Here is a 15,915-nt window from a genome sequence, read left to right as displayed (position 1 = left end):
TGACTATTCAGCGTAGCTTCTGCAGGTGCCTCCAGGGAGTTGTGGGTCCTCTGAGGCAGCCATGCCCTCCTCCCAGCCTGGGAACACCAAGCTACCACCTGTGGTCAGGGACCTATATGAGAAAGTCAAGTAGACACCATTACCAACATCCTAAGTCATTTCTAGGGCTGGAAAAGGGAGGGGAGGCCTGCCACAGACCTCCCTTTCCCCACCTGTCCAGCTCACTCTGGGGCCTTCAGCACCCCTGTCCTGCACAGTCCGGGGGTGTCCCTTTTAGAGAGCCCCCAAAACTCTAAGCCTGTCCACACTCCTCTGCCTTCGCACACCTGCTTTCCTCTGCCTGGAATTCCTGCCGCATCCTGTATCTGTAAACCCTACTCATCCTTCAAGGCACAGCTCAAAAGTCACCTCCTCCAGGAAGCCTCTCTCCTCTCCCAGGTAGAAATGCCCTTCCCTTATCTTTTTACTCTCACTGTTCAGACAGTACTGTGTTGGCTCACAGCGCACCCTCCTAAACCAGCTGTAGGTGGCTGTGGAACAAGGTTCTCTATAAGGTGCTCCTGGCATCCTGAGAGGCAGTTTGTTTTGTGAGGGACCTGAACACCTCTGCTCCCTGCCCAGTCACGTGACAACCAAATGCCCTTTCACATATCCGGACACCCCCAAAGGGGGCTGCCCATCCTTGGGAGAGAACCACAAGCAAGGCTTAATAAAGCATTTCTGGAAAAAATGATTAAGTGAATGAGTGAATGAATAAAGTGTTAGAGAGAGGCTGGACTGGTTTGATGTGGGGTAAGGAGACCAATGAGTCAGGCTCTGGGTGGGTAGGAACCATGAAGAGAAACTGGGGGCCATCAGAGGGCGGGTCTGGAGGCTCAGGAAGGCAGAGGAGTCGACTGCCAGCCCCCTCAGCCCCTTAGTTTCTTAATGCCCCCACCTTTATAACACAGCTCCAGCCAGAACTTCTCCCTGAACAGCAGACTAGGACTATGGGCACGCACCACCATATCCGGCTGATTTTTGTATTGAGGAGACTTGGTTTTGCTTTGTTGCCCAGGCTGGTCTCGAACTCCTGGCCTCAAGCGATCTGCCCCTCTCAGCCTCCCAAAGTGCTGGGATTACAGGTGTGAACCACCACGCCCGGCCTAGTTGACACCTAAATCCTGGTTGGCACCCACTAGTGGGTAAGAGGAGGGGAAAAGGGATGCTGCAAGAGGTGACTCTGGACCTGAGCAAGATAAGTCGAGACCCTCAGATCCTCTCCCACAGTGGAGAAATTGATGTTCAGCTGGCAAAGGCTACTTCCAACCCTTGCAGGCCCACAGAATGCAAACGTACCTCATTCATGCCACATCACTCCCTTGCAGAACCCTCCACTATGAAAAAAGAGTGCTTCCTGGCCTCATCCAGGTCTTCTGTGGGTCACTAGGCCCAGCCTCTTGGATCCTGCACACGATGGGACTGGGTTGGGTGACTTCTCCCAGGAAACTCAGGGCCCATCTATGGTGGTCAACATCACACATCACACAAGGTCTGGGGAAACTGGCCCTGCAAGATGAGGCTGGCCTGTAGTACCAGCCACAAGGCCCTGCTTCCGGGTGATGCTGATGCTGCCTATCCATGGACTACATGTTGAGTAGTGAGGCTTTAAAGGACATGCACTTCCAAAATTATTTAAACTTTGCCAATAGTTTACATAAAATAATTTATGTGTGAGCACCTAGATAATAGTTATTTAATTTGGCCAGGCACAGTGGCTCATGCCTGTAATCCCAGCATTTTGGGAAGCTGAGGTGGGTGGATCACTTGAGGCCAAGAGTTCAAGGCTAGCCTGGCCAACATGGTGAAAACTAGTCTCTACTAAAAATACAAAACTTAGCTGGGTGTGGTGGTGCATGCCTGTAATCCCAGCTACTCGGGAGGCTGAGGCAGGAGAATCACTTGAGCCAGGGAGGAGGAGGTTGCAGTGAGCTGAGATCGTACCACTGCACTCCAGCCTGGGCAACAGAGTAAGACTCCACCTCAGAAAAAAAAAAAAAAAGTTATTTAATTCAAAATCAAGAAGATGTAAAGCTCCGCAATCCATGCTTAATGCTAAAACTTAAAGATGGTATGAAAAATAACATTATGAACAAGTTTGCCATAGTCTACTGGCAAATAATAAAAGTAATGCTTGGAATAGTGTCCGTGGCCCTGCTCTCCCGGGGTCCTTCACCCACACTGTTACACCCAGCAGACATGAAGCCAAATCCTTTTCTACCCTAAAACTCCCAGTTTAGGCTTCCTCTAGATTCTTGCAGATTAAGTTCAACCAAATTAGAGCCCAATCGTATTAAAACACACAAAATTAGATCTGAATACGACGGAAAGACAGGTCTTGTTCTAGTTTAAGCTCTAAGATGCAGGGAATTTTATCAGTTTTGTTTACTGCTTTGTCCCCATACCTAAAATTCAGTATTTTTAATTAAAAATAAATCGTGAGGCTGGGCACGGTGGCTTACGCCTGTAATCCCAGTACTTTGGGAGGCCAAGGCAGGCAGATCACCTGAAGTCAGGAGTTCAAGACCAGCCTGGCCAACATGGTGAATCCCCCATCTCTACTAAAAATACAAAAATTAGCCGGGCGTGGTGGCAGGTGCCTGTAATCCCAGCTACCCCAGAGGCTGAAGCAGGAGAATTGCTTGAACCCGAGGCGGAGGCTGCAATGAGCCCAGATCGCGCGATTGCACTCCAGCCTGAGTGACAGAGCAAGACTCCGTCTCAAAAAAAAAAAAAAAAAAAAAAAAAAAAAAAAATCAAGAATGAAGGAGAGTTCTGCTTGGAATGCAGGGGCTAAGTGCCCCAGCCCCTCCATCCTGGGTCGGGGGCACACATCCTGTCTGTTAGGGGTGCTACGTGTAAACTGTTCCCCAGGCCATCCCAACAGGAGAATAAGCCCTGAGGTCCTGGGAGCCACTGGAGGGATCTGAGCATGCTGCAATTTACAACTTTACAATTTCATTCTGGCTGCTCTGCTGTCTATAGATTGGAGGGTGAGCAAGGGGAAGTAGGAAGACCAGTTAGGAGATCATTGTAGTAATCCAGGTTCTTTTTTTTTTTTTCCTGGGCTGGGGGGGACAGAGTCTTGCTCTGTTGCCCAGGCTGGAGTGCAGTGGCACAATCTCGGCTCACTGCAATTTCTGCCTCCTGGGTTCAAGCGATTCTCCTGCCTCAGCCTCCCAAGTGGCTGGTATTATAGGCACCCACCACCATGCCCGGCTAATTTTTGTATTTTTAGTAGAGACAGGGTTTCACCATGTTGGCCAGGCTGGTCTTGAACTCCTGACCTCATGATCTGCCCTCTTCGGCCTCCCAAAGTGGAGGGATTACAGGCGTGAGCCACTGCGCCCGGCCCATAATCCAGCTTCTAAAAGATATGCTGATGGTGTGGACTAGTATGGCAAGAGAGGAGAGAACTGGATTGGAAGTAGCGTCAACAGAACTAGGTCATGACTTGGTTATTGGAGAGGAGGAAGAAGGAAATGAATGACCCTCAACTTCTCCCACCTCCAAAACCCACTGCTGGGTTCCTAAATGAGCAACTGGGTAGGTGAGAAGATTGGGGGAAACTGGGGGATGACCAGGTTTGAGGATAAAATCAAAATTTCCACTTTGAACTATGATCATATTGGACATATCCAAGTGAACGCATGAATCTGGGCCAGTCCAAAAAATAAGATTCCAGACACCTTCCTCACATGTGGGATAAGGTGGTACCAGCTAGGGAGAATGCATGGAGTGAAATCAGAACCCAGGGCTGAGCTCTAAGGCCTCTTATATTCAGAAGTTAGAAAAAGGTGGTGGTGGGCAGTATGAGTGGAGAACAGGGATGGTCTCTGAGACAAGGAGAGGTGAGCACCCTAAGGCAAGGGAGAGAGGAAAAGTGAGGAGCTTGTAAGGACACACACCATGCTCACTCTGGTGATCTCAATCCCTGCTGGTGGGGCAAGAATCTCCCTAACCACAAGGGTCCCACTCCCTAAGAGAAGCAGGTGCCCACCCTAAGGGGGACCCCAGATGAGTCAGGAAAATGAATTAGAAATTTAAAAATTGCCCACAAAAACAGAGGCTCAGATGGCTCCTTTGGTGAATTCTATCAAACATTTTAAAAAGAAAAAATACCAATCCTTCACACACTCTTTCAGAAATAGAGATGTAAGCAACACTCCCTAACTCATTCTGTAAAGCTGGTGTTACTGACCAAAGACATCACATGGAAAGGAAACTACAGAAAATATCTCAAGTGAACACAGATGCAAAAATACTTAATATTAGCAAACCACATCTGACAACATAAAAAATAATTATACACCATAACCAAGTGGGATTTATCCCAGGAATGCAACGTTGGATCGACATCTTAAAAATAAATTAATGTTATAACATTAACAGGCTAAAGAACAAAAACCACATGTCACCTCATAGATGCAGAAAAAGCATCTGATGAAATCTCACACCAATTCATGATACAAACTCTCAAGAAACTAATAACAGAATGAAACTTCCTCAATTTGGAAAAGGTATAGATGAAACACCCACAGGTTAACATCAACTTGAACAGTGATGGACTGAAGGTTTTCCTCCCTAAGATTGAGAACAAGGCAAGGATGTCCACTTTTGCCACTTTCATTCAACACTGTACTAGATTTCTAGCCAGTACAATAAGACAGGAAAAAATTAAAGGCATACAGATTGGAAAGAAAGAAGTAAATGTCTTTATTTGCAGATGACATGATAATGTAGAAAATCTCAAGGAAGACACACACGGACATTTTTTTAAAAAATGATAAAACTAACAGATTGAATTTAGACAGGTCACAGGATATAAGATCAATAAACAAAAATCAATGGTATTTCTATATACTAGCACCAAAAAGTCTGAAAACAAAATTCAGCAAGCAATTCCATTCGTAATAGCAAAGTAATATGAACATTTTAACAAAAGGAGTGTAAGATGTATATACTGAAAATAACAAAATATTGCTAAGAGAAATCAAGGAATATCTAAATAAATGGACACAAACTCCATGTTCACAGACTGGAAGACTTCATATTGTCAAGATGGCAATTCTCAACTTGATCTGTAAATTAAACACAATATATATTTAAAACCTCAGAAGGCTTTTCTGTAGTAACTGACAATCTGATCATAAAAGTGACATGGGAATGCAAAGTATCTAGAAAAGTCAAAAGAATTTTGAAAAATAACAAAGTTGGAGGTGTTACATTACCTGATTTAATGACTTACAAATACTTTAAAGCCAGAGTCATCAATAACACACAATCATGGACAGGCACAGATCAATGGAACAGAACTAAGAGTTTAGAAATAAACCCTTATATTTATGCCCAATTGATTTAGACAAAGGTATCAAAGCAATTCAATGGGGAAAAGATACTCTACAACAAATGGTGCTTGGACAAATGGAAATCGGTCCATGAAAAGATGAATTTAGACTCTTCCCTTACACCATGCCCAAAAATGAACACAAAGTGGATCACATACCTACATGTAAGAATAAAACAAGAAGACTTCAAAAAGTTCTTAAGATACGACACCAAAGGCATGATCCATAAAAGAAACAACTGATAAACTAAACTTCATCAAAGTAAAAAACTTTTACAATTCAACCACCACCACTAAGAAAATGAAAAGAGCCCTTGTTAGTATAGTGGTGAGTAAAAAAAAAAAAAAGAGAAAGGGCTGGGCGTGGTGGCTCACGCCTGTAATCCCAGCACTTCGGGAGGCCGAGGAGGGCAGATCACGAGGTCAGGAGATCAAGACCATCCTGTCCAACATGGTGAAACCCCGTCTTTACTAAAAATACAAAAATTAGCCAGGCGTGGTGGCGGGCACGTGTAGTCCCACTACTCAGGAGGCTGAGGCAGGAGAATTGCTTGAACCTGGGAGGTGGAGGTTGCAGTGAGCCAAGACCACACCACTGCACTCCAGCCTGGCGACAGAGTAAGACTGTCTCAAAAAAAAAAAAAAAAAAAAAAAAAAAAAAAAAGAGAGAGAGAGAAAGAAAGAAAATGAAAATAAAGACAAGCTAAGACTGGGATAAAACATTTGCAAATAATATATTTGATAAATAAAGGATTTGTATCCAGAATATGTAAAACTTTCTTACAATTCATTAATAAGACATGTGAACCAATTTAAAAATGGGCAATAATTGAATAGATATTTCACTAAAGATATACAAATGGTTAACAATCGCATGAAGATGCTCAAAATCATTAGTTGTCAGAGAAATGCAAATGAACCATAATGAGATGCCACTTTGCATCCACTAGAATGGCTACAACAAAACAGAAAAGTCCAAGTGCCGACAAGAATGTGGAGGAACCTGAACCATTCATTATACATTGCTGGTGGAAATGTAAAGAGGGACAGCCACTTTGGAAAAGCTTGGCAATTTCTTAAAAAGTTAAACCTAAACCTACTATATGATCCCAGCAGTTTCACTCCTAGGATCTACCCAAGAGGAATGAAAATATATGTCTAACAAAGACTTATAAATGAATGTTCATAGCCGTATTATTCATAATAGCCCCAAATTGGAAACAATCTAAACATTTATCAATCGGTGAATGAACAAAATATGGTATAAGTGGAATACAACTTAAAAACAATAAAAGGAACTATTGGTACATTCTACAATATGAATGAACTAAATTATTCTAAAGTAGGAAGCCAGACACAGAAGGCCACATATTATATGATTCCACTTATGTGAAATGTCCAGAATAGGAAAATCTATAGAGACAAAATAAAATAGTGGTTGCCTGATGATGCAGGTGAAAAGGGGAACTGCAAAAGGGATTAACTGAGTGATGAAAATATTTTAAAACAAGATGGTGATAATGGTTGCACAGCTCTGTACATTTACTAAAAGTCATTGAGTTGGACACTTAAAATGAATGAACTTTAAGGTATGTAAACTATGACTCAATGAAACTATTAAAAAATCAGTGACGTAAAAAGGAGGAAGACAAGGGAAGCATGATTAGGTGACATTTGAATGTGGATATACCTGATTGTCCCTAAATTCTTCAAGAAGCTATTGTTCAGCCTCTTCTTCATGTCCATTGTTGTGTCTACAGTAATGGAGAGTCTCACAGAGCTCACCACGTAGCAGGTAAAACAGGTAAACAGGTCACTGCATGGTAGAATATGGCCAAGGGCCAGCACAGCAGATGGAGGAGGAGTGCCACGCTGACCAGAGATGTTTTCATGAAGGTAACATCTAAACTGAGATCCTGAAGACCGCTGCTGGGCAGCTGAGAGGAAGTGTCAGTATCTCAGTGACATTCTATGTCATGCTATGAAGTTTAGGTTTTATGAACTGCAGAACTAAGCTGGGCGTGGTGGCTCACACCTGTAATCTCAACACTTAGGGAGGCCAAGGCGGGAGGATTGCTTGAAGCTAGGCATTCAAGACCAGCCTAGGCAACATAGTGAGACCGATTCTCTACAAAAAATAAAAAAAATAGCCAGGCATGATGGTGCATACCTGCTGTCTCAGCAACTCAGGAGGCTGAGGTGGGAGGATCGCTTGAGCCCAGGAGTTCAAGGCTGCAGTAAGCAATGTTGTGTACTGTTAGGTTATTGTGAGTAGCAATAAAAAGCAGCAGTGCTGGACTTTGGGGTGAAATGGAGTGGGCTCTGCTGTTGGTCATGAGGGGGAAAGGAGTCCAAATAACAAAAACAAAGAAAGAAAGAAAAAAGAAATGGAAAGTCAAGCAGATGAATCCAGTTTGACTTAGCAGTCCACTCTTCACCTATGGGGCTCTTTGGCTCTGGTCAAGGGGGCATAGATTACATGGAAAGGGCTGCTACTACTTTACAAGCAACAGGCCTTTCTCCCAGAGGGCAGAGTTCCCAGATAGTCTGGCTATCTCTTTCAGCATGAAGGCACCTGCTTCTTCACTCTTCCCCTTGCTGCCCAGTCTGCTTTTCCAAGGTCTATGACTGTTGGGAGGAATGCTGCTCCCTTCACAGGTGGAAGACACTGCTGTCCTTAGGCAGACTGGACTGTGAGTGTGGAGATCTGGTCTCAATTTCTCACAATGCCACTGGTTAGCTGGAGTCAGGTCAATTACTTGGCCATTCTGAGGCAGTTTCCTTATGCTAAAATGTTACCTGCTCCGTGGGGATTACTGAGGACCATGTGAGATTCAACTGATAAGAGTGTTTATATGTAAGACATGTCCTGGTGGGGTGTGTGTGGGAGTGATATGCCTTCCAAAAACTTAAAAAAATTAAGTTGCCATCCAGGAGTCCAATGGACAAGATTGATCACAAGCTGACTTTTGGAAAAGTGTGACTGAAGAGTTTCCCAACAGGCAAAACCACACTAACCACAGTGTAATCTTGGAAGAGCAGATCTGGAATGCGGCTGTATTTGGGGAAGTGAAACTGAAGATGGGAGTATAGTTCTCACACTGAAGAGCATGCAAATCACCAAGGAAACTTGCTCACGCCAGAATGCTGAGCTGCACCCCAGCCCTAGGGAACCTGTCTCTAGAGAGGGACTTAGGAACGGATCTGTGGTTTAAACATTTTCCAGTGACTTTTATGTGCACCAAAGTTAAAGCACCTCTCGCCTAGAGCATAAAAAAGGAGCTGGAGATGCTGATTCCAGGCAGTCAACAGGCAGCCACATTCCACTGGGAAACTCTGGAGTTTTAGGGCAGTGAATGGAGAAAAGGGGAAATCCGAGAGTAGGGGCGATCAGGACAGGCACCAATATGCAGTCCCAAAGTGCAAATGAAGTCTTTGCATATTTTTCACCAGAAGTGACTCTCATAAAATAAATCTCTCCAAAGACTACTTTTGCTGTACATCTGGCTTTTCCCTTATATTCACAGAAATATTCCCATTTTGTCCAATATATTTTTTTCAGTGAATCACAATTAAAAAACAAACATGTACTTCTAATATCTGAGAAATAAACCAAGAAAGGACAAGAGCTATTAGGAGTGTTCTCTTTATTTCTCTTTGGTTTCTTAACACAAAAGACATGCATTCTATAAATAAAAGGAACTAAGATTTTCTGGGAAACCATAAATTGGGAGGAATTCCCACAGTCACACCTCTGTGGTCAAGAGGATGGTCTTCAGCCCCCATCTGGCTGTAATCTCTGATGAAATCCAGAAGAGAAGGCCCGTGTGTTATCCAAGAAGGTGAAACACTCAAGGACAGTGAATGCCACAGTCCTCTGCTCAGAGCTGGGCTAGGCCCCAAGGCCCACTGAGTACAATGTCTACCCTATCTCCTTGTTACATCCTTTTTACAATATCCTTGGGTGATGCTTCTTTTCATGGGGCTATTGGAAAGGCTCCAACACCAAAGAGCCAGACCAGCCATTTACGAATAGCCATTCACCATCGGACTGAGGAACCTACTGGGAGAGTGTGAATATGTTGGTGTTTCCTGACTTGTGCTCAGAGCCCAGATCAAAACACTGGCTTGATCTTACTTTGAAACATCGACCTCAGGTGCAGCAGTGTAAATTCTACACCAGGAGGTGGGATTGGACTCAGGAAGTCCACTACAAGAGCAGCAGGCCATGGTAGAAAATGATCTGCCATACCCAGTGGCAAAATCTGGGCCAGTATCCTAAGGACCCACTCAGTAGCCCACAGACCGATTCTTAATACCTTCACAATCCAGGCTTGTTGGTGCTACTTCAAATTCACAAAAGAAAGGGGCTTATAATAAGACAAGCACTGATACACTCCTAACAGGAAATGCACACCCCACCCACCTTCCGAGTCTACCCCTACAGGCAAACCAGGAAGGAGGGAGAAATGCTGGAGCCCTACCACGAGCCCAGGTTAAACGACATCCGATATCAGATTGTTGAGACGTTAAAAATAAAAATATCATTTTCAAGTGCTTGTAGCAGAGGCCTAGCTCCTAAGTTGTAGGTAACAAAGGTACTTCCCTCTGAATACATGGCGATTGCACACACTGGTAAACCTGACGGTCCTGGGGTGGGGGAGACACCCCAGGCTCCACATTGTGCCTTTCTGAACAGGCTTCCAGGCCACCCCAGGCAGGCAGCAAAGGATAGGAAACCAAGCAGGTGGAGACTGGAGCCCTAAGACTCAGTCTTGGGTTACAGGAATTGAATCTTCTTTTAGTCTCTACTGGAAGAATTTTAGAAAACCAATTTTGGCAGCAGCAGTTGAAGGACAGCCCCACTGCCCAGTGCACTGGCAAGAGAAAATGTCCTCCTCTTTGAGTCCCGCTGTGCTACATTAGGTCCTATCCAGGGAGGAGGAAGCAATATGAAATCTTTCCAAAAGGTAAAGGTCATTTGCCAAGATTAGAGGAAGAAATATAAAATCTGTTCTTTGCAGCAGCAAGAGATTCTTTCGGCCTTTAGTTCTTTATGTCATAAAAGCCAGCTGTGCTTGAATGTAAAGGTCCACCTTGCTGGTCAGTCTGCCCAGGGCTGGAGGGAGGCCAGACTCTTGGGATTGGCGAGTGGATGGAGGAGCAGTGGAATGGCAGAGCAGACAAGGTTACCAGACCAAGCCCGCCCACAGCTGGTAGAAGGAAGCCCTGGTTAGGTTCTAGAGGTGCATATGGTCAACGTGCCCCAGAAGCATCACAATGAGGGAAATCATCCAAGAACGAGATTGATGGGCAAGTGAGAATCTGGCCAGACCTGCTGTTTCCTGCTGGTCAAAAAAGGAAGCAATGTTAGTGAGAGTGGGGAATCTGAATGAGCGCCATGGTGGCAGTAGGAGGTAATCACAGGGGCGCCTGGAGCCCCCAGCCACAGCTAGGAGCCCCCACCAAGAAGAGTGGCAGTAATTCAGCAGATAGCCTAACTCTCTACGCCTATGATTTTAAAAGTCCTCTGATGGTGGGTGAGAAGACAAACCCCATGAGCACCTTACTACAGGCCCAGTCAAGAGTGCACTGATTCCACACACACTGGGGCTCAGAGGGAACCCCCAGCTCAATGCGAGGCCTCAGGACCCTGGGATCCGAATGTGGGGTGGATACCGCCCTTCTCCAGTTAGACGATTTTCCATTTAAACATAGATTTGCCGTTAGTGTCTTTTATGCTTTTTTCTTCTTGCAAAATTTGTTCACATAAAAAAATTATTTTTCTTTCCAGTTTCTTTCAAGTGTTTCTTTGTTTAAATTTCCTTCAGTTTCTTTCAAGTATCTTTTTTTCCCTTCTGTTCTCCTGGACAGATCAAAAGGCCTCACTGAAATCCCAAAATTAGACATGGGGAAAACTTCTCTTCTCCCTGCTTACCCAGCAATGAGGACAGAATCCTTGGTGCCCCACTGTGGAAGAAGGAATGTGCCTGTGTGCAGCCTTCCACTGCTGTGGCCACACCATCTCAGGCAGGGAGAACGCTTGGGTCTGTCCTTTCGTCCCCAGCTACATCCCAGTTTCCAGCAGGCTTGGACACTGCAGCCTCCCCATGGCAAATTGGCCAGACTCGGCTGGAGAGCAAGCAGGCGATGGGGAGCATCAGATGGAAGGCCTTCTGTGAACAGCTGGCCCACAGAGAGGCGGTGGGTAGGAGCTGGGCCTGGATGGAGCCTGTGTTCATGTGGACCAGAAAACAGTTCCATGTCACCAGCTGCAGGATCCAGAGGAGCTTGTGTTCCATGCTGTGCATCTTGATGACCCAAGCCTGAAGGTCACAAGGGTGGCACAGTGGGGGAGGGCTTAAGCACCTGGAAAAACTGTACCTCCGGCGAGCTCACGTTTCGCCATCTCTTCTGGTCCACTGCCTCTCCTGAGGGACTGTTCCTGGAAGGAAGCGCCTATGTCTGTACCAGATCCCTGCCCCACCACATCCCATCCTCTGCCTTAGATGGTGAGGAGAGGGATGCAGCCCACACCGACCCCTCCCTCATGGCACGCCATGGGGGCCATGAATGTCCAGCAGTCTGTCTCTGGGTCATACATCTCCACTGAGCTTAGGTTTGACTGTCCGTCGTAGCCCCCAACAGCGTAGAGGCGCCCACAGCTGGCCACCAGGGAGACCCGGCTCCTGCGCGTGTGCATGGGGACAATCAGGCACCACTGGTCTGCCACAGAGCTGTACATCTCGGCAATGCTGAGGAAGCCAGAGCCATCGTAGCCCCCGCAGACAAACATCTTGCTCCCCAGGGAGGCGGCTCCGTGCCGGCAGCGCTTGTTGAGCATGCCAGCTGCAGGGTGCCAGGTGGCTGTGTGGTGGTTGTAGTGTTCCACCTGCAGTGGGGAGAGAGGCACAGGTACAGGACAGTCAGAGGCAAAGCTCAGTCCATGGAGTGACCGTGCAGGGCACAGCAGCCCCCCATGATGTCAAACTCCTGTGGGAGGTATGGGGACAAGGAGCTCTCCCAGTATTCCCTCTGCTGCAGGCCTGCTCTTTGGTGTATGGGGACAGGGAGAGGTCACCTCACCTAACCCTTTCTGTTTGCATCTAAGGAAACAAAAAGGATGTGCCCAAGGATGCAATGCTAGGTAGTGACAGAACCTGTATGAGAGCTGGGTCTCCTGTAATCTCCAGGGCTCTCCACTGCAGCACTGACTGACTATGGAATGACTAGTAAATGGCTGTTGAGCCTTTTTTACAGAATAAATACAATTTCAAACAAATTATCCAAAAGAATACAACTGTTTGCAAATTTACACTTGGTCTATAACTGAACTTACTTTGGGCAGGAATCTCACAAGTTCTATGTAGTGTTCAACAGACAGTAGAACAGGGTGGTGGCTGCAGATGTGACTACCCTTTGCCCTTCTTTTGTGTACACTGGCTCATTCTCTGGAAGTTCAGAATTTCAGAAGGTGCAGTGGATAGCCTGAAACCTCACTAGATGATACTTTATTCAGCTGTGGCAAGGCTGAAGTTTTTTCAAATAATGATCTTCTAAAATAAATCTCAAAGACAGAAGTAGGTACCCTTATCCCAGGGGGAGCCCAGACTCACACTGCTGAAGATCTGCAAACCATCATGGCCGCCTGACACATATATCCTGCCCTCAAAGACTGTAACCCCAGCAGCACTGCGATTCGAGCTCATCGAGGTCACCACTGTCCATCTTCAGGAAAGAGTCAAAATAGGAGGGGAAGCATGAGATTCAGGGTTCTTGTTCCCTCAAGACAGCCTAGCAGGGTTTAGGTGAACTGTGCTGGCCATCTCTCCATCTCTTATCACCTCTCCCACCACCTCTCTGACAGTTCTCCCTGGCTGCCGCCTCTCACCCAAGCTGCAAACCCACAGCCCATCTTCTCTGCTCATCTCCATGGCTGCTCAAAATCATTGTCTCATACAAGACCTCTTTCTCCTACAGTTCTGCTCCTCCCTGCACTCCCTGCCTTGTTAAGCAGACCACCAGCCCTCTAGCTGCTGTACTTATAAAGCTCAGTGCTATTCTGGCTGCTTCTCCCTCACCATCAACATTCCTGTGGTCCCCCAAGTCCTGGCTGGTTTGCTTCCTAGTCAGTGCTTGCTCCCATCCCCACTACCAGTGCCCTACCCCTGACCTCTCATCTGGACCACTGCAACAGCCTCTTTACAGGCAGCCTGGCTTTCCTACCAGTCCCATCCGACCCCACCCAGCCAGAGGGATTGCTCCTCCTGTACCTGCACCATGTCCGTCCAGTGGCTCCTCACTGTCTCCTCTAAGAGAATCCAGGTTCCTTCATGTGGTTTTTAATTTTTTTTTATTTTTGAGACAGGGTCTCACTCTGTCACCCAGGCTGGAATGCAGTGGTGCTATCATAGCTCAATGCAGTTCTGACCTCCCAGAATCAAGCAATCTTCCTGCCTCAGCCTTCTCAGTAGCTGGGACTAGAGGCTTATGCCACCATGCCTGGCTAATGTTTTTTTCTCTCTCTCCTTTTTTTTTTTTTTTTTTTTTAAAAGAGACAGGGTCTCTCTTATGTTGCCTAGGCTGGTCTCAAACTCCTAGGCTCAAGTTACCTTCCTGCCTTGGCCTCCCAAAGTGTTAGGATTACAGGCGTGAGCCACTGTGCCCAGCCCTTCATGTGGTTCTTCACCTCTTGGTCCTCAACCACCCTTCAGCTTCACCCCACACCACATGCCACCCACCCTGCTCCGTCTCCCATCCACACGCTGTGCTCTAGCCCATGAGAGGATCATTGCTGTTCTCGATTACAGTGAACACTTTCTTATTGCAGCCTCACTCCTTGTTGTCTCCCTATGATGAGCAAACACCTCCCATTGGCTATCCATGACAGGTCTCACCTTGGAAGACATCCCTGCTACCCTGTCCCTTCCTGCAACCCTGGGGAAGATGAAGGTTCTCTCTGCTCTGTGCCCAAGAGCTTCTGACACAGGCCTCCAGGGTAGGATGATCATGATGCAACCCATGGCCCAACCACATTGGATGCTTTAAAGGATCTCAGACACCCAGCTTGCTGTCTGATCCACAGTAGATTGGTCAAGTGAACAGAATACTGGCTTAAAGGCATCCTAATAAGTCCATTCAACTAATTTGTTTATATTTTATTATATAAGATGAGAGGATTCAAATACTGAAATGAAAAACTCGGGCTAACCTTGTCAATGTTTTTCAAAGAGTGTTCCACAAATGAGTCCCACAAGATGGTGACTGTTGTGTATATAAAACCCGAGGTTAAACAGAGTTATTTACTGCAGGGTTTCTTAGAGTCTTTAAAATGTTAATATATCTTATGGAAAGACAAGGACTCTGGCAGTTCAGACATCAACATTTCCCAAGCCTATCTGACCACAGAACTTAAAAACATTTTTTTTTTTCCAAATCATATCCTACCCACTTTGGAACATGCTGTTCATCTACTTCTTATTCCCTCTTGCCTGTATTTCCATTAAAATGGGCTGATTTAGCTAAGAGGTACAGACCATTAAATAAGTATTTCCAAGCAACTATGTAGACTATTTGTTTTAAAATTTTATTTACTCATTCTTTCACTTAACCAAGGGTTATTAAATATCTAGTATATACAAAGTACTATACGGGCAAAAAGGTAAGACATTCTCTACCCTTGAGAAGCTTAAATTAAAAAAACTACAGTTCTGATTTTTATACTCTCTGTTTATAAGCTCCAGTTGCCCCAAGGGAGCTGGAGTCCTTACTTGTCCGTCTCAGGTGAGTAGGTCTCCACGGAGCTGAGGGAAGAGTTGCCATCGTAGCCCCCACAGACGTAGATCTGCCCATCCAGCACGACTGTCCCCATGGCACTGAAACAGACAGAGCTGTCATCCCAGATGAGCCGCAGCCTTCCTGGAGCAGCCTCTCTTGCCCACTGAGAAACAAACCTATCAATTGCCTCTTTCTGCAACGTAAATCTAAGGTATGTGACTAAGTAAAGGCATAAAACTGAGGTGACAGAAGCTGCCCCATCATTCCTCTTGTGCCCCACCCTTCTACCGCAGGCTGCCTCCCCTCCCTGCTCTTCTCTGTCCTTAATCTTTCTAAAATGCTTACCTTCCACCTCACCATGTGAAGGTCGAATTTACCTTGAAGGCCCAACTCAACTTCCACTCTCCTCTTCCTCCCCTTTGTAAGAATTACTCTTTCCCACCCCCACGCTCCCTGAGTGGCTTATTAATCAGCAGTTGTTACAATCATTCATTCATCCATCAGATCTGTAACAGCTGGGGTTTAGAGTGGTAAGCAAGCCAAAGTTCCAGCCCACAAAGCACTTATGTTCTGACATTATAGGCTACCAGGAATCTATCTGCCACTTCTGTGTGTAATTTTTAATCAGAGCCTTGCTCTGTCACTCAGGCTAGAGTGCAGTGGTACCATCATAGCTCACTGTGCCTTGAACTCCTGTGCTCAATTGATCTTCCTGCACTTCAGCCTCCCAAGTAGCTGGGATTACAGGTGTG

General features: G+C 45.9%; 1 protein-coding gene across 8 annotated transcripts in view; it reads right to left on the bottom strand.

The window, feature by feature from the left end:
• Positions 1–9,016: 9,016 nt before the first annotated feature.
• Positions 9,017–15,915, bottom strand: part of KLHL18 (kelch like family member 18) — a 63,873-nt gene continuing 56,974 nt past the window's right edge. For 6 of the 8 annotated variants that reach the window (XM_005265001.4, XM_005265003.4, XM_017006033.2 and 3 more), the window contains 3 exons: positions 15,157–15,276; positions 13,003–13,114; positions 9,017–12,278 (listed from right to left, as the gene is read on the bottom strand). In XM_005265001.4, coding sequence (XP_005265058.2) covers positions 11,892–12,278; positions 13,003–13,114; positions 15,157–15,276 — 619 coding nt within the window. In that variant the 3' untranslated portion in view covers positions 9,017–11,891. The remainder of the gene's footprint in view (positions 12,279–13,002; positions 13,115–15,156; positions 15,277–15,915) is intronic. The other 2 variants (XM_005265002.6, NM_025010.5) reach the window with 1 other exon arrangement.

This window comes from Homo sapiens, chromosome 3, assembly GCF_000001405.40.
Source record: "Homo sapiens chromosome 3, GRCh38.p14 Primary Assembly".
Lineage (NCBI taxonomy): Eukaryota > Metazoa > Chordata > Mammalia > Primates > Hominidae > Homo > Homo sapiens.
Note: the sequence above shows the minus strand (reverse complement) of the source record. Positions and strands in the feature narration are given on the sequence as shown.